Here is an 18,612-nt window from a genome sequence, read left to right as displayed (position 1 = left end):
GGCCCCGCGACCCCCGCCGCTGGCGGCCGCCTCACCCAGCCCTCCCGGCCTCGCCCGCACTCTCCCAGCCCCTCGGGCCGCACGCAAAGGCGCCTGTGACATGAGCGCAGCCCCGAGCTGCCCCCGAGGCCCCGACGCGGCAGCGGCGACGGCGGCCGCGCCGCGGGGTATTAATCCCGGGTCGGTGGGAGGCTCCGGAGGCTGCCCTCACCCATCTCCGCCTCCCTAGTCGCCTCCGCCTCCGCCTCCTCCTCCGGAGGCTGCGCTGCTCCCAGCCACCCCCACTCTCGGCGGCCCTGGACTGGAAAGACAGCGGGGATAAGCCTCACCCGGTTCTGGCTGGGGCTCCGCGGAACGAACCTCCCCTCCCCCGGCCCACCCCCCTTCGGCGACACGCACAACTCCGCTCGGTCCAGTCCCGGCTTTAGCGCTGGTGAGGAGGAGGAGGCGGAGGAGGCGGCGGCGCGGCCGAGCCCGGGGAGGCCCCGCCCTCCGCGCGCTCATTGGCTGACGGGGAAGGCTGGCCGGAGCGCTTCGGGCACGCCCATTGGCTCCGACGGCCGTCCTTCAGGGCCCCCCCTCGGTAGGGTGGTCCGAAGGGCTGTCCGTCAGGTGCGGGCCACTCCCCCGGCCCTGCCGTTCCACTCCCGCCTCCGCCGGCCCTCGACTCCTGGCCGGGTCCCCTCCCCGCCGGTCCCCCGCCCCCACCCACCGGGTCTGCCAGGGTCAGGAGCCCGAGATTCGCTGCCCGCCGTACCGAACCCGCTTCGGCTCCTCGGGGCCCGGGGCTCTCCGGGACCTACACAGCCCGGGAGACTCCGGCGGGGCCGCCTGCCCTCGCCCGAGCCCGGGCGCCCAGGCCGCGGCAGCGGCTCCCAACGCCTCTGCCCGAGGAGAGCCGCGGCCTCGATGCCCCAACGCCCTCCCTGTCCAGTTGCTTGAAGGCCCCTGCGAGGGGCGAGGCCGGGGAGGCGCTGGAGCGGGTCCGAGTGGGCTTTCGGGACCGCGGGTGAACTGGAATCCCGACCGCGCTGGGGGCAGTGGAGGCCCTTCCACCCTCGCCGCGCCCCGTGGGGAATAGTCCCCCACCTCCCGCCATGGCTGCAGCAGGAGGAGACGACGTCCTCCATTTTGTCGGAACGACTGTGGGAACTTGGGACCCCCTAAAAACCAAACCCCGTGGGGCCGGGAAACTTGTCCTCGGGAAGCCCCAACTGGACTCTGCCATTCGGCCAAGGGAACAACCCCGGCTGCTGGCGTCTGCGTCCGCGGGGCCACAGGGGACGGGCACGACGGTGGAGAGACCCAGACGCAGCTCCCCGCCTCCATCAACCAAGATGGAGGGAGCTGCGGGCTCCCCTGGAGCTGGGCTCCCACCGGTTGGAGGGGCTGAGGCCTGCCCTGGGGCGTCCTTGGGCGCCGCCGTCCTGTGCTCCGCAGCCCGGGGCGCTGGCCCTGCCCAGGCCTCTCTACCGCCTGCCACCGTCTCCTGGTCCTCAATGGTTGATGGAGACTCCATGGAGGCTCCCTCCACAGCCCGCTGCATCGCGGGGCGCACTCGCTGCGGCCGCCGGGGGGAGCGGAGTCAGGGACAGACGACGACAGGCGCCCGAGGAGGGCGGGCCCCACAGGCCACCTCCACGAGGGGTCTTCTCTTTTGTTCCTCGTCTACACCTACGTCTTCGGCGGACGTCATGGTGCTGAACCATTTCCAAGACTCACGTAAAGATGGAAGCGATGTCGCTTTCGTCTCGCCCTGGCGGTTCTTAGTGGGATTACAACTGAGGATGTTGGTTATTTTCCCACCCAAATGGATGGGCGACTTCTCAATTTCACGATTATCTGACACCATTGCCTATTAATAAACATATATGATAATACAGTTTCAAGTTCAACACAATATTGATGAACATGAAGTTTTTAGTGAGGTTAATCACCCGTGAAAGACTGATGTGTAAACTAATAGACGCAACTTACAGAGGATAATCTAGTAGAAGTTGAATTCATTCACTCATTAAAAAAAATAAATCAAGTAGGCTTTCCACCTTGTACTAAATACCTTGAATACACTGTTCTCTTTTATTGAAAAAAATTAATAAAATGTACTTGAACCAGCTTTTCAAAAAGTATCACTAATTTTTAGGAAACTTTGTAACTAAAATTTTTTAGTTTTAAATACACTAAAATAGCCTCTTAAGATTTCATATTACACAGTACTGGTTTAGACTGAAAAACTATCATCACAACAGAAACATCACAACAAAAACAGCCACTATCATCAAAACAAACATCCTCTACTACCAAATTGTAATAATTTGGTGAAAACTTACATCATTCCTTTTCTGCTGCCAGGTCCTATTGAAGTAGCTTCAGCTCATTGAATTTACATTTAGAAGACTAAAGTAGACTAATACTTCCAAATAAGCTCTGTGATAAATGATAGATTGGGTTGCCACGTACTGTTCAGTTGGAGCTCTATACTGCTACTAATTCCCTAGTGTTATTGCTGTTTTATATAACTAATGAGCAACTGTGCTAATTATAGTATTTATTATTTACTTTTTAAATTCATTCAGGTACATCTGTCCATGCAACTGTTCATTGGTTTGCTGGTCTGATATCAGGGAGAATTTTTCGTTGAGAATTTAGAACTGGGAAGAAAGTATTTGTCATAATGTTAAAAAGCAGACAATTTTACATAAAAGTAATTTTAAAAATAAATGTTTGAATGTTCATAACAGCATTATTCATAATTTCCAACATCCCTGAAATGTCCATCAACTGATGAATGGATAAACAAAATGTGGTACATCCATACAATGGAATATTATTCAGACCTAAAGAGGAGTGAAGTTCTGATATACACTACAACATGGACAAACCTTAAAGACATTATGCTAAGTGAATAAACAAGACACAAAAGACCACTGAATATTTTATTCCATTTACGAGAAATGTCTATAATAGGCAAATCTGTAGAGACAGAAAGTAGATTACTGGTTGCCCAGAACTGGAGAAGTGGGGAGTAGAAAATGGTAGCTAAAAGTTACGAGGTTTTTTAATGGAGTGACTCAAGTGTTCTAAAATTGACTGAAATGATTGCACAACTGTGAATGTGCTAAAAACCTCTGAACAGCATACCTTAAATGTGTGAATTGCATGATATGTCAATTATATCTCAATAAATCCACAACTAAAACTGTGTGTGTGTGTATTAATCTATTCTGTACCTGTCAAAAAGCATACCAGACATCCAAGAGGCAGCTGCAAGACGTGAGCAAAAGACTTGTATTTCAAATATCTGGCCACTCAAAACCTCAGAAACTTACCTTCTCTCTGAGTCCATTTCCTTATTTGTAAAGTAAAGTAATAAACAGTTGTTGTGGCTGGGCATGGTGGCACCCGCCTGTAGTACCAGCTACTCAGGAGGCTGAGGCAGGAGAATCGCTTGAACCCAGGAGGCGGAGGTTGCAGTGAGCCGAGAGCGCACCACTGCACTCCAGCCTGGGCAACAGAGCAAGACTCCATCTCAAAAAAAAAGAGTTGTTATAAGGACCAAGTAACTTCTGTGAAAGTGATATAAAAGTGTTAGGTTTAATTGCATTTCGAAGACCAAGAGCTCACCGTTAATTGAGATGTAGTAAAACTGACTCTGAGCACAGCTTAAAGAGCCAGACTGCCCCCATCTGAATTCTGGCATTACCCACAACTAGCAACTAGCTAGATGCTTTTAGTCATGTGTAAGCTTCTCTAAGCCTCTGATCGTTTCATCATGTGTGAAATGTAGATAATAATTCCTCTTTCATAGAGTTTTTTAGGGGGTGAAACGAGCATACATGTATAAAACTTGCACCTTGCACCTCACTTAATATAGACCTCAGTAAATTTTAGTTGTTTTTATCATTCATACTTGACTCAATGAAATATTAGAAAAAAATTATAATATTCTACTAGGACCATATTGATATCTCTACCACCAATACTATGCTACCGCATAATCCAAATAATAATAATAATAATAATAATAATAATTGCAGTAACTAAATCAAGTAGTCTTGGGGCCGGGCGCAGTGGCTCATGTCTGTAATCCCAGCACTTTGGGAGGCCAAGGCAGGTGGATCACTTGAGATCGGGAGTTTGAGACCATCCTGGCCAACATGGTAAAACCCCATCTCTACCAAAAAATACAAAAACTAGCCGGGCAGCGTGGTGCATGCTTGTAGTCCCAGCTACTCAGGAGGCTAAGGTGGGAGAGTTGCTTGAACCCGGCAGGCAGAGGTTGTATTGAGCTAAGATTGTGTCACTGCACTCCAGCCTGGGCAAAGAGTGAGACCCTGTCTCAAAAAGAAAAAAAAAACAACAATATTTTAACAATGGAAACACTGAAGAAAATTTTCTATGAAAGAAGGAACAAAGACTGAAACAAGTTTAATATTACTTATTGATATATAAACATAGTACTCCTGGGTAGGATGCTTCTCATAGGATTCAAAAATAAGAATTTTAAATAAAAATTGTTAGTTTTAAGTTGACATTTATAATTTGCTTATACTGAATGATGTTTGGTATTATAGCAACCAAAAATCCATAATTTTGCTTTATTGTTGTGGAGAAAGGGTGAAGTTCCTTGGCCCTAGGATTCTTGGCTCCAGAATCCATGCTATTAACCACCTCATTATACAGCCTCTCTAGATAGCTTTCTCTTCATTCTTAAATTTTAACTCTTAAACATGTCATCTTAAAAAATTTTAAACAGGCCAGGCGCGGTGGCTCATGCCTGTAATCCCAGCACTTTGGGAGGCCGAGGCGGGCGGATCACAAGGTCAGGAGATCGAGACCACGGTGAAACCCCGTCTCTACTAAAAATACAAAAAATTAGCCAGGCATGGTGGTGGGCGCCTGTAGTCCCAGCTACTTGGGAGGCTGAGGCAGGAGGATGACGTGAACCCGGAAGGCGGAGCTTGCAGTGAGCCGAGATTGTGCCACCGCACTCCAGCCTGGGCGACAGAGTGAGACTCCGTCTAAAAAAAAAAAAAAAAAAAAATTAAACATAGCACTAAATAATGCATTTTAGATCAGTGGCTTATAAACTTTTTTTTGACCATGACAACCACTGGGATATGCATTGTACATCAGCACCCGGTACAAACGCCTACTAGGTACATGACTATATAACTGAAACACAGGATTCATGGAATAATTATCTTTCACTGTCTTAGATGCATTTTAATATTATCCATTCTAGTATATTTAAATCTAGTCTATACAGTTTTAGCCCTTCTTTTTAAATAAATAAATAATAGTTGCAACACACCAAGTTCATTTCATGGTTTACAAACTGTGGTTTGAAAAATATTACTCTGGAGAAAGCAAGTCATGGACAAATTTAAGTTCTAAATCAGCTGGAAAAACACAAGATGATATCAGAAACTGAGAGTAATCTCAAATGAACCATAGGTGGAATTTTTTTTTTTTTTTTTTTTTTTTTGAGACAGAGTCTTGCTCTGTCGCCAGGCTGGAGTGCAGTGGTGCAATCTCAGCTCACTGCAACCTCTGCCTCCTGGATTTAAGCAATTCTTCTGCCTCAGCCTCCTGAGTAGCTGGGACTACAGGCAAGCGCCACCACGCCCAGCTAATTTTTGTGTTCTTTAGCAGAGACAGGGTTTCACCATGTTGGCCAGGATGGTCTCGATCTCTTGACCTCGTGATCCACCCGCCTCAGCCTCCCAAAGTGCTCGGATTACAGGCGTGAGCCACCGTGCCCAGCCTATAGGTTGAAATTTTAAAAATAGAGATTTAAGTTGCCATTCTTTCTAAATATATGAAATACTTATTCTTTCCTATCAACATGTTTTACACTTTATGAAAGAGTAATGAAGCTTATTAACAATGCCTGGAAAAGTATGCAGAGGTGAAGTTAATGCTAATTCCACTACTTGTTAGCTTTGTGACTGTCTTAGTTCATTTAGTGCTTCTACAACAGAATACCTAAGACTGGGTAATTTATCAATAACAGAAATTTACTGACTCACCATTCTGGAGGCAGGGAAGTCCAATATCAAGGTGCTGGCATCTGTCATGGGCCTTCTTGCTATGTCATAACATCAAGGAAAGCATCACATGTCTGAAAGGCTGAGAGAGGATGAGAGTAAGAGCAAGAAGGGACAAGCCCAGTCCTACAATAAGGAAACCTACTTCCCTGATGATAACATTAATCTATTCATGAGGGCTCACATCTCTTAAAGGTCTCACTTCTTGATACCATCACAATAGCAATTACATTTCAACATGAGCTGTGGAGGGGACAAATATTCAAACCATAGTAGTGACCCTCCACTTTTTGAGCCTCAGTTTCTTCAGTGAACTGAGGGAATTGTACATCCTAGACCCTTAAAGGAAAATCCCTTCTTCTCTCCTTATAATCTTCTCATCCTTTGGGATCCCAATGCCTCCAACCAACCCCATATCATTTTTCCAGTTTATTGTAAATATTCCTTTCCTCTGAGTTCCTGTGGCTTTATTATTGAGTAATAAAAAGTGTTTGCAACTATAGTCTTAACAAAGATTGCCCTTCACTCTTCCTTACCAGTTCACATTGGAATAAGGGTCCCATCATGTTTCTCTTTTTAAATCAAATGTATTTATTTTAATTGGCAAAAAATTGAATATATTTAGTGTATACAACATGATGTTTTGAAATATATATACATTGTGCAGTGACTAAATAATATAGGCACAACCTCACATACTTATTATTTTTTGTGGTAGAAACACTTAAAATCTACTCTCGGCTATTTTCAATAATACAATATACTGTTATTGATTTTAAACACCATGTTGCACAATATGGTGTACAGTCTCTTGAACTTCCTCCTATGTAGCTAAAACTTCTATCTTTTGACCCATATCCTCTAAATTCCACCAAACTCTCATGCCACCACCCCAGCCCCTGGTAATCACCATTCTATGCTCTGCTTCTATGAGTTCAACTTGTTTAAGATTCCATATGTGAGATTATGTGGTATTTGTCTTTCTGTGCCTGGCTTATTTCATTTAACATAATGTCCTTCAGGTTCATCCATGTTGTCACAAACAACAGGATTTTCTTCTTTTTAAGGCTGAATAATATTCCGTTGTGTATATATGCCACATTTTCTTTATCCATTCATCTGTTGATGGACACTTACATATACTCCATATCCTGGCTATTGTGAATAATACTGCAATGAACATGAGAGTGTAGGCACCACCTGAAGGAACTGATTTCATTTCCTTTGGGTATATACTCACTAGCGGGATTACTGGATCACATGGTAGTCAATTTTTTTATTTTTTGAGAAACCATCATACTGTTTTCCATCATCGCTGTATTAATTTACATTCCTAGCAACAGTGTGCAAGGGTTCCCTTTCTTCCACATCATTAACAGCATGTGTATTCTTTTGTCTGTCTTATTGTATTTTATTTTTGAGATAGAGTCTAGCTCTGTCACCCAGGCTGGTGTGCAGTGGCCCCATCTCAGCTCACTGCAACACCCACCTCCCAGGTTCAAGCGATCCTCCTGCCTCAATCTCTTGAGTAGCTGGAATTACATGCGCACACCACGACCCCCGGTAAATTTTTTTTTTTTTTTTTTTTTTTTTAGTAGAGATGGGGTTTCACCGTGTTGACCAGGCTGGTCTCGAGCTCCTGACTTCAACTAATCCACCTGCCTCAGCCTCCCAAAGCGCTGGGATTACAGGAGTAAGCCACCGCATCTGGCCCGTTTGCCTATTTTTAAATCAGGTTGCTTTCTTCCTATTGAGTTATTTGAGTTCCTATTGTGGATAGTAACCTCTTATCAGACATATGGTTTGTAAATAAAGTCTCTCATTTCATAGGTTGTCTCTTCACTCTGTTGATTGTTTCCTTTACGATACAGAAGCTTTTTAATGTATCTCATTTGTCTGCTTTTGCTGTTGGTACCTGTGCTTTCTTGTTATTCATTTATCTCCCAGGCATCATAGCCCACCAAGTTCCATCTAAGCTTTAGAGCGTGGGTGTCCAATCTTTTGGCTTCCCTGGCCCACACTGGAAGAATTATTGTCTTGGGCCACACATAAAATACACTAATGATAACTGACGAGCCAAAATAAATAAATTAAAAAATCACACACAAAAAAATCTTACGTTTTAAGAAAGTTTACAAAATTTGTGTTGGACCACATGCATTCAAAGCCATTCTGGGCTACATGCCACCTCCTGGCCACTGGTTGGACAAGCTTGCTTTAGAGGTACTCACTGCAAAACAGAAGCAAATTTTAAAGGGAAAGATTAGATTATTTCCAAGATCCTTCCCATCAATAAATTCTATGATTTTATAAAATAATAAGCTGAAAGGACTCCTTATATTGTCAACCGTTATTTAGTGAATTTCTGTACTGAGTAGTGTTAAAACCAAAACTTTAGACAAATTAAATTTAACAGTTTAATTGAGCAAAGAATGATTTGCTAATTGGGCAGGACCCGGAACCAGAAGAGGTTCAGAACGACTTTGCAGCTGCTACGTGGTCAGAGAGGATTATGGGTAGAAAAAGTAAAGTTAAAGAAAACAGAAATGAGGCCCAGAAACATCCTGATTGGTTAGAGCTTAGCGTTTGCCTTATTTGAACATGGTTTGAAGAGCTGGCCGCCTATGACTGGCCAAAACTCCGTGACTAGTACAAAAAATAGGTTACATTCTGTTTACATATCCAGTTGGGTTGCAGTTCACCCTGTAAGGGGAAACTTTTAGGCCAAACTTAAAATATGTAAGCAGGTGGTTTTCGGCTAAACTTAATTTACCAGTAGCTATTCACTAAAATATTAAAATCTAAAATTAAGCAGGTCTGAAAGTTGTGAATCATTACATCTTATGTTTTTCATACTTTTTCCTACTTCCAAAGGTAATAAATACACAATGATTTTACTTTTTTTTAATTTTTAAAAATTATTTATTTATTTATTTCAGCCTCCTAAGTAGCTGGGACCACAGGCACGTGCCACCATACCCAGCTGAATTTTGTTATTGTTTATTTTGTAGAGAAGGGGTCTCACTATGTTAACAGTCCAGGCTGGTCTCCAACTCCCGGGTTTAAGTAATCCTCCCACCTAAATCTCCCAAAGTGTTGGAATTACGGGTGTGAGCTGCCACGTCTTTCTTTCTTTTTCTTCCTTTCTTTCTCTTCTTTCTTTCCTTCCTTTCTTCCTTCTTTTTTTCTCTCTCGCTCCTTCCTTCCCTTCCTTTTCTTTTCTTTTTTTTTTTTTTGACAAAGTCTCGCTCTGTCACCCAGGCTTGAGTGCAGTGGCGTGATCTCGACTTGCTGCAATCTCGTTCTCCCAGGTTCAAGCGAGTCTTCTGCCTCAGCCTCCCAAGTAGCTGGGACTACAGGCACCCGCCACCACGCCCAGCTAATTTTTGCACTTTTAGTAGAAACGGCGTTTCACCATATTGGCCAGGCTGGTCTCGAACTCCTGATCTCATGATCTGCCCGTCTTGGCCTCCCAAAGTGCTGGGATTACAGGAGTGAGCCACCTCGCCCAGCCTATTTTTTCTTTCTTTCAACAGGGTCTTACTCTGTTGCCTAGGCTGGAGTCAGTAGAATGATCATGGCTCACTGCAGCCTCCACCTCCTGGGCTGAAGCGATTCTCCTATCTCAGCTTCCCGACTGCTAGGACTACAGGTACCTGTCACCACATCCAGCTAATTTTTGTTTTCTGTTTTTGTTTTTTGTTTTTGAGACAGAGTCTCGCTCTGTAGCCCAAGCTGAAGTGCAGTGGCGTGATCTCGGCTCACAGCAACCTCCACCTCCCAGGTCCCGGTTCAAGCAATGCTACTGCCTCAGCCTCCGGAATAGCTAGGATTACAGGCATGCCCCACCATGCCCAGCTAATTTTTGTATGTAGCAGAGATGGGGTTTCACCATGTTGACCAGGCTGGTCTCGAACTCCTGACCTCAGGTGATTCATTCGCCTCGGCCTCCCAAAGTGCTGGGATTAGAGGCGTGAGCCACAGTGCCCAGCCTTAATTTTTGTAGTTTTTTTTTTTGTGAAGATAAGGTTTTGCCATGTTACCCAGGCTGGTCTTGAACTCAGCTCAAGCAATCCTCCTGCCTCGGCCTCCCAAAGAGCTGGGATTATGAACTGGCCCTGCCCTCAGTGATTTAAAAAACAAAACAAAACAAAACAAAAACACATACACACAAACCACAACTTGGAATACCTGAAAAGTACGAAGGGGGGGAAAATGACCAATAACCCTTGCATGTAAGGATAATTGTTAACATTCTTAATTGACTTCATTTTTTAAAACAGTTTTAGGTTCACAGAAAATTTGAGCAGAAAATTCAGAGAGTTCCCACACACCCCATTCCACACCTGCATAGCCTTCCCCACTAGCAACTCCCCCACCAGAGTGGTACGTTTTGTTACAACTTACGAACCTATATGAACACATTATTATTACTCAAAGTCCATAGTTTAATATATTAGAGTTTACCCTTGGTTTTACATCTTGGTGTTGTTCATCCCTTCCTATCTCTCTCCCTGCCCTATAACCCGTAGTAACCATTGATCTTTCTGCTGTCTCCATGATTTTGCCATTACCAGAATGTCTTACAGTTAGCCTCATACAGTATTCAGACTTTTCAGATCAGCTTATTTCCCTTAGCAATATGCCTTTAAGTTTCCTCCGTGTCCTTTCATGGCTTGGTAGTTCATTCATTTCTTTTTAAGCGCTGAATAATATTGTGTTGCCTGGATGTACCACAGTTCATTTATCCATTTACCTACTGACGGATATCTTGGTTGCATTCAAGTTTTGACAATTATGAATAATGCTTCTATAAATACCCATGTGCAAGGGTTTTGTGTGGACATAACTTTTCAACTCGTTTGGGCAAATGCCAAGGAGAGCGGTAAACTGGATCATATGGTAGGAGTATGTTTAGTTTTGTAAGAAACTGTCAACTGTCTTCTCGAGTGGAATTTTACATTCCCACCAGTAATGGATGAGAGTTCCTGTCGTTCCACATCTTTGTTAGCATTTGGTATTGTCAGTATTTGGGATTTTCACCTTCTGATAGGTATATAGTGGTATCTCATTTTTGTTTTCTTTATAATCATGTTGATGTAACTTTTTTTTTTTTTTTTACTTACAGGATGTTTTAAAAACATTTCTGTCATCCCACAAGAATTAGGTCTTGCTAATTTTTTTTATTACATGGCATAGAGTGAAGAAGAGATGCTGTAAAGAACTGGTGATATCTAGAAAAATGAAATTGTCATTGAGAATAGAGCGGTCATCTTCATTTTGCTGTTGTAGGATAGGTAAACGGATTTTTAAAAGAGATACATAGCGGCCGGGCGCAGTGGCTCACACCTGTAATCCCAGCACTCTGGGAAGCCGAGGCCGATGGATCACCTGAAGTTAGGAATTCGAGACAATTCGAGACAATTCGAGACTAGCCTAGCCTAGCCTAGCCTAGCCAACATGGTGAAACCCCGTCTCTACTAAAAATACAAAAATTAGCTGGGCGTGGTGGCGTGTGCCTGTAATCCCAGCTACCCGCGAGGCTGAGGCAGGAGAATCGCTCGAACCCAGAGGCGGAAGTTGCAGTGAGCCAAGATCATGCATTGCACTCCAGCCTGGGCAACAAGAGCAAGACTCTGTCTCAAGGAAAAAAGAAAAAAAAAAAAAAAGACGAAGAAGAAGAAGCGATACATAACCTGTGGAGTAATACGTGCCTACATCAAGAATTGTACTCTGGCTTCCTTCTATTCCTAAAACATTGGGCTGGGCGTGGTGGCTCACGCCTGTAATCCCAGCACTTTGGGAGGCTGAGGCTGACAGATCATGAGGTCAGAAGATCGAGACCATCCTGGCTAATACGGTGAAACCCCGTCTTTACTAAAAATACAAAAAATTAGCCGGGCGTGGTGGCGGGCACCTCTAGTCCCAGCTACTCAGGAGGCTGAGGCAGGAGAATAGCGTGGAGGCAGGAGAATGGCGTGAACCCAGGAGGCGGAGCTTGCAGTGAGCCGAGATCGCGCCACTGCACTCCAGCCTGGGCGACAGAGCGAGACTCTGTCTCAAAATAAATAAATAAATAAATAAAAATAAAAATAAAATAAAAAATTGATAACAAATCAAAGCTAAGGATCCAACCCTGGAAAAGTGACATTCTTGAGAGAGGCAGCACACTGATAACAGGTAGGGAGATGAAGATATTAGACACACTTTTTAATTACTTGATGGGATATAAAATGCTTTTAAGACACCACATCTATAATTGTTTAATTGTAAGAAACTAATTTTGGATCTAATAATCATTCTTTAAATGTACACTTTGTGGTGGTAACAAAAATTAGTCATTATTATAAACATACTATGGAACTTTTACTAAGATCTTTGTTGTTCATTCATTCCACAAATGTTAACTGGGAGTCTAAGTTAGGCCAAACAGTAGGGTAAGTGCTAGGGATACAACAGTGAATCACACGGATGTAGTTCCTACCCTCATGGGATGTATACTCTCTACTAGACCAGACAGCCAATAAACAGAAAGTAAACAAAATGAATAAAGTAAGTGCGATCGAGAGCTAGATGGAATCAGAGTTCTGCTATACAGAATAACGATGAGGACCATCGCTAATGATTATAGAACACTTTTCTGAAGAAGTAACATTTAAACCACTGTTTAGAAGAACCAGAGAAGTAATGCTCTGAACAGCAGGAAAATCAAGAATTAAACTTCTCCTAAGAAATGGAAGACAATCAGTTGGGTGGGGAAGAGTCATGGGAAAGGAGAGTCAAGAGCAGGCGGGGTGGCCCCTGGAAGGCCTTGGAGGCCACACTAAGGAGACAGGATGTTACTGTAGTGCATGGAAAAGCCATAAATAGAGGATTTCAGTGGGAAAATGACACAATGTAATGTTAAACCTTAAGCATATAACCCTGGCCACTTTGTGGGGAATTGTCGTAGGGTAGCAAGCGTAGAATTTTGGAAGCTGTTGAGTTGTCTGAGCAAGAATTGACATTGGTAGCCTCAAATAGGGTGGTGGCGATGCAGGTAAAAGAAGTGAGTTGATGATAGTTAATGATGGGAAGATGTGGGGTACAGAGAGGCATTTCTAAAATTTGGGAACTAATTTAAAATTCAGACACAAAAAACTTCTCTTTTTTTTTTTTTTTTTTTTTTTCTGAGACGGAGTTTCTCTCTTGTTGCCCAGGCTGGAGTGCAATGGCACGATCTTGGCTCACCACAACCTCTGCCTCCCAAGTTCAAGCAATTCTCCTGCCTCGGCCTCCCAAGTAGCTGAGATTACAGGTATGCGTAACCATGCACGGCTAATTTTTTTGTATTTTTTTTTAGTAGAGACAGGGTTTCTCCATGTTGGTCAGGCTGGTGAAAAAACTTTTCTAATTATTAAATAATATTAAACTCTTAGCAAATCTGATAAATTTTGTACAAACAAAAGATGAGAAGCTTCACAAAAGGTAGAAGCTAATCTTCAAGAATGATAGCTAAAAGGAGTTATACTAAGTAGACCAATAAATTAATACTACTTTGAATTGACTGAATTTTTGAAAGAAATTAGTCTAAAATTACAGTGGTTCACACCTGTAATCCCAGCACTTTGGGAGGCTGAGGCAGGTGGATCACTTGAGGCCAGGAGTTCAAGACCAGCCAGGGTAACATGGTGAAACCCCGTCTCTACTAAAAATAGGAAAATTAGCCAGGAGTGTTAATGCACACCTGTAGTTCCAGCTACTTGGGAGGCTAAGGCACGATAATTGCTTGAACCCGGGAGGCAGAGGTTGTAGTGAGCCGAGATCGTGACACTGCAGTCCAGCCTGGGTGACAGAGTGAGATTCTGTCCCCCTGCCCAAACCCCCAAAAATGAAATTAGTCTAAAATGTATAACATTGCTGAGTATTCTACTTATTATTGCTTTTTACTTCTTTTTCAACAAACTTGGAAAAATAGTTGAATATAAATAAATAACGATTGATTTGTAACCAACTTCAAATTTAGTTCTGTTTTTAAATTATATCACTATAATACTATGGTAGTTCTTTATAATAGTCTCAGAGGTGTTGGGTTTTGGTTTTGTTTTTCTTTTTTTCATTTTGACCTTGTTTTGTGTTTTTAATTTGTTTTCTTCAAAATAAAAAATAGGGGCCGGGCGCAGTGGTTCACACCTGTAATCCCAGCACTTTGGGAGGCTGAGGTGGGAGGATCACCTGAAGTCAGGAGTTTGAGACCAGCCTGGCCAATATAGCAAAACCCCATCTCTACTAAAAGTACAAAAATTAGCCAGGTGTGGTGGTGGGTGCCTGTAATCCCAGCTACATGGGAGGCTGAGGCAGGGAGAATTGCTTGATTCTGGGAGGCGGAGGTTGAAGTGAGCTGAGATCGCGCCACTGCCCTCCAGCCTGGGCAACAGAGTGAGACTCCATCTCTAAATAAATAAATAGGACATGGAAGGAGAGGTGATTGAAGAAGAAATTCACAGTGAGGAGTAAGACTCCCCCTACCTGCTCAAGTAGCCTCCAGCCTTCCTATCTGCCTCTCCAGAGACAACCACTGTTACCAGTTCCTTCTAACATTTTCCAGAAACATCTCTCATGTAAAAGTATGTATTCTTTTTCTACAACTTTTTTTTTAATTCAACATTGTATCTTAAAGCTGAGTTCACATCAACATGCATAGATACAGCCCATTCTTTTTCAGGACTGTATAATATTCAATTGAACTATAATTTATTTAAACTGTATTACTCATTAACAGAGTCAGATTACAGTGACCCTCAGTCGTTTCATTATCCTGTCCTTAATATCTAATTCTCATAATAAGAGGTTATTTTCACATTAACTGCTACTTTTAAAAATTGAAGTCCCCAAAAATACCTTTTTAGAATTATTTTATCCTGAGCAAGGGGTAATGTTTTGATTGCTAAGTAACTGTCTCTGTGGCAATTGTTCTTGTTTCTTTCCTAATATTGTTTTAAATACCTACAGAGTCCTTCTAGATATGCACAGCAAAAGAGAAGTAGCTAAAAGAGGTCTGTGTCTACCAAGGCTGCCTACTAGGCCCCCATTGCCTAAAGAATCAATTCTAGAGTTCTTTCTACAGCCCCGCATATTTTACAATGACTCCCACCAATGCAGCCCCATCTCCCTTCTCATTCCCCTCAAACAGCCTACACACTAGACACATTGGATAATTTACTCTACCCCAACAATTCTGCATGCTTTTAACAGACTGCCTTTGTGCGATTTCCTCAAACTAGTAAAAACCTGGCTTCCACTCAGTCTGGTGAACTACTTCATCTTTAAGGCAGAAAATTTCACACTTGGGCACATATACCAACTGCGTACGGGGCAAGAGCAGTTTTAGAATAATCCATTTCCAGATCCTCAAATTCAGTTGTACACGTACCTAAAATAGATCTGCCCCATTCCCATCCACCCTTCTCCCACTGAAAAACAAAAAGCAGGTATCTCACCCCAGAATTGCATTAAGGCGAGGTGCCTCCTGGTGAAAAAGACTTCAAAATGCCCAGCGAGAGGACAATTTGAAGTACTGGTATAAATTTGAATGTAAATAAATGACTCTCATGACTGGATGACAGATTATTTTTGAACATCAGGTGGTTTTCAATTCTTTATTTTCAAGAAAATTGAATGAAGAGCTAATTGGGATGTCGGCTAATCTTATAAAACACACATGCCTGGTGTTGTGAGTTTAATTGTGTCCCACCCCCAAAAATACATGTTGAAGTCCTTATTTCCCAGTACTTTGGAATGTAATCTTATTTGGAAATGGAGTCTTTATAGAGATAATCAAATTAAAATGTTGTCATTAGGAAGAGCCCTAATCCAATATGACTGATCTCTTTATGAAAAGGAGAAATTTGGACACAGAGGCAAGACACATACAGAGGGAAGAAAACCTGAGAAACTTGGGGAGAAGACGGCCATATGACTGTAATGTTGCATCTACAAGCCAAGGAACTCTAAGGATTGCCAGCAAAAAACAAAAGCTAGAAGAGCAGGAAGCCGTTCACCTCTAGAGCTGTCGGTCGGTATGGCCCAGCTAACACCTTGATTTCAGATTTCTAGCCTCCAGAGCAGTAAAAGAATAAATCTGTGCTGTTTTAAGCCACCCGGTTTGCAGTATAATGTGATGGCAGCCCTACGAACCTAATTTCTATATAGCTTTTAGCATGTAATTCCCCAAGAATTAAAAATAATTGAGATGGCATTACACAAAACTTAGATTTTTGTCTATTTATTTGTTAACCAGTTTTCTCATCACGTACATCCATAAAACTGAAAAGGGGGGTAATAAAACCTGTCCCATTTCAGCAAAAATAAAATTTCATTAAAAAATTATGAGCTATTTCAAAAATTACTTTTTATTGATTGATTTTTTTTTGAGACAAGATCTCTCCCTGTAGCTCAGGCTGGGATGCAGTGGCAGGATTATGGCCCACTGCAGCTTCAACCTCCCAGGCTCAGGAAATCCTCCCACCTCAGCCTCCCAAGTAGCTGGGACTACAGTCATGTGCCACCATGCCAGGCTAATTTTCTTTTTTTTTTTTTTTTGTAGAGACGGTATCTCCCTATGTTGCCCAGGCTGATCTCAAACTCCTGTACTCAAGCAATCCTCCCACATCAGTAAAAATATGTTATTGACTTGGCACTTACCATCATTCCTTTAAAAAGTACACAGATGATAAATTCTTTAGTATAGGACATTTTATGTGGTTCCTTTTTCTCATTCACATTTGTATTTCCATTCCACTTCCCCCATAGAATTGTATCCTAGTATAATATGTATAATAAATACATACTAAAATTAAAAATTTTAGTGATCATCCTACTATATTACTCTGCAGTAAAATTATGTAATAAATTAAAATTCAAAATTTGTAACTTTCTAGACCATAAAGCTGTGTTGAAAATTTCTTACACATGAAGCTATTATTTATATTAAATATTTGATTGAATTAACATAATGCATTATATACTCGGTTTGGTAATTATGAAAAGTAGAATTATATAGAAATATATCACTTGATGATATAGAAAGTAATTTTTGGCCAGGTGCAGGGGCTAATGCCTGTAATCCAGCACTTTGGGAGGCTAAAGCAGCAGGATCACTTGAGCTCAGGAGATTGAGACCAGCCTGGGCAACTGGCAAGATCCCATCTCTACAAAAAATAAATAAATTAGCCAGGTGTGGTGGCACACACCTGGCGTCCCAACCACTCAGAAGGCTGAGGTGGGAGGATCGGCTTAGCCCAGGTCAAGGCTGTAGTGAGCACTTATGGTGCCACCACATGGCAGCTTGATTGACAGAGTGAGATCCTGTCCCCACCCCCACGCTCAGCCCTCTGCCAAAAAAAAAAAAAAAAAAAAAAAGCAGAAAGCCATTTGCCCGGAGTTGTTTCTGTACCCAGAACCCTTATACAAGTAAATCAAAACATAACTTAGAGGCATTCCTTGCATCTGATTAATTTTGAATTGAGCTTTAACCAATCACAGAAAGCCAACTAGCCAATTGGTTATAAAATTAGGGACCTCAAACTATACCCAAATAAGGAAAACACCTAGCTGTAGTCAATCAAGTAATGTCTTTACTGTGCTTCCATCTTCAGCCTATAAAAGCTCCCTGCTCACACTATTAGGATAGAGATCTCTGAACCTCTTCCAGTTTTGGGTGTTGCCCAATTAATGAATCCTTTAATGCTCAAATAAACTCTGTTAACTTTATTTCGCCTAAAGTTTTTCTTTTCTTTCTTGCTTTCTTTTTTTTTTTTGTTTTTTTGTTTGTTTGTTCTGTTTTCCGCTCTGTCACCCAGGCTGGAGTGCAGCGGCACAATCTCCACTCATTGCAACCTCTGCCTCCTGGGTTGAAGCGATTCTCTACTTCACCCTCCCAAGTAGCTGGGACCACAGGCACAAACCACAACACCCAGCTAATTTTTGTATTTTTTATAGAGACAGGGTTTCACCATGTTAACCAGGCTGGTCTTGAACTCCTGGCCTCAAGTGATCCACCTGCCTCAGTCTCCTAAAGTGCTGGATTACAGGAGTGAGCCACCACACCCTGCCAAGTTTTTGTCTTAACTACTACAGCATGTAAAATATTGTAATATAGGCTTAAATAATACAAGTTTAGTTGTTTATAGCTCTATCTCTCTAGTCTCTTGGAGGGCAGTAATAATGTGTTATTTACCTTTGCATTCCCATGCCTGGCATAACTATAGGTGTACAGCATATATTTACTAATTTATTTCTGTTACATAGTTTACAAAATTTTTCTTATGTACCTCCTGTCCTAGAGTTTACAGTAGGAATAGGTTATAGCATTTCCTTAGAAAAATATACATTTTCATCCCGTAGTGCACTGAGAAAATGTCTGGTTCTACCTAGAGAAATTGAATTGTAGTCAAGGAAATGGCTGAACGCCATTTGAAATACAGTCTAGTGGGTTTAGTTTGATCTCTCCTACAGAAACCCTGGGAAAGGAAATGAAAGATTTTAGAGAGTTGTTTGAGACTAGTTTACTTAAGAAACAAAC

General features: G+C 42.4%; 1 protein-coding gene across 33 annotated transcripts in view, besides 5 other annotated features; it reads right to left on the bottom strand.

The window, feature by feature from the left end:
- The window catches only part of ZMYM2 (zinc finger MYM-type containing 2), a 225,276-nt gene that overhangs the window by 129,945 nt on the left and 76,719 nt on the right, over window positions 1-18,612 (bottom strand). For 8 of the 33 annotated variants that reach the window (XM_047430586.1, NM_001353161.3, NM_001353162.3 and 5 more), the window contains exon 1: window positions 36-147. Coding sequence is in view for 2 of the 33 variants with exons in the window: in XM_047430584.1 (XP_047286540.1) it covers window positions 1,679-1,855; window positions 6,033-6,080 (225 nt within the window). In the remaining 31 variants the exon portion in view is untranslated. Of the gene's footprint in view, window positions 1-35; window positions 148-211; window positions 445-1,377; window positions 1,856-6,032; window positions 6,133-8,169; window positions 8,281-18,612 lie in introns of those variants that run through there. The other 25 variants (NR_148365.2, XM_024449406.2, XM_047430593.1 and 22 more) reach the window with 10 other exon arrangements.
- Window positions 136-985: a silencer, noted in NCBI's record as "silent region_5144". NCBI's record gives its function as "represses an Ori minimal core promoter by ATAC-STARR-seq in GM12878 lymphoblastoid cells {active_cell/tissue: GM12878}" and the evidence as "EXISTENCE:reporter gene assay evidence [ECO:0000049][PMID:35858748]".
- Window positions 136-1,222: a biological region, named in NCBI's record as "NANOG-H3K27ac-H3K4me1 hESC enhancer GRCh37_chr13:20532089-20532630".
- Window positions 681-1,222: an enhancer, noted in NCBI's record as "NANOG-H3K27ac-H3K4me1 hESC enhancer chr13:20532089-20532630 (GRCh37/hg19 assembly coordinates)". NCBI's record gives its function as "activates a minimal SCP1, AML or CMV promoter by ChIP-STARR-seq in primed H9 embryonic stem cells {active_cell/tissue: H9 hESC(primed)}" and the evidence as "EXISTENCE:reporter gene assay evidence [ECO:0000049][PMID:30033119]".
- Window positions 1,223-1,765: an enhancer, noted in NCBI's record as "NANOG-H3K27ac-H3K4me1 hESC enhancer chr13:20531546-20532088 (GRCh37/hg19 assembly coordinates)". NCBI's record gives its function as "activates a minimal SCP1, AML or CMV promoter by ChIP-STARR-seq in primed H9 embryonic stem cells {active_cell/tissue: H9 hESC(primed)}" and the evidence as "EXISTENCE:reporter gene assay evidence [ECO:0000049][PMID:30033119]".
- Window positions 1,356-1,645: a silencer, noted in NCBI's record as "silent region_5143". NCBI's record gives its function as "represses an Ori minimal core promoter by ATAC-STARR-seq in GM12878 lymphoblastoid cells {active_cell/tissue: GM12878}" and the evidence as "EXISTENCE:reporter gene assay evidence [ECO:0000049][PMID:35858748]".

This window comes from Homo sapiens, chromosome 13, assembly GCF_000001405.40.
Source record: "Homo sapiens chromosome 13, GRCh38.p14 Primary Assembly".
NCBI classification, from domain to species: domain Eukaryota; kingdom Metazoa; phylum Chordata; class Mammalia; order Primates; family Hominidae; genus Homo; species Homo sapiens.
The sequence above is the reverse complement of the archived record's forward strand: the minus strand, read 5'-3'. Positions and strand labels throughout refer to the sequence as shown.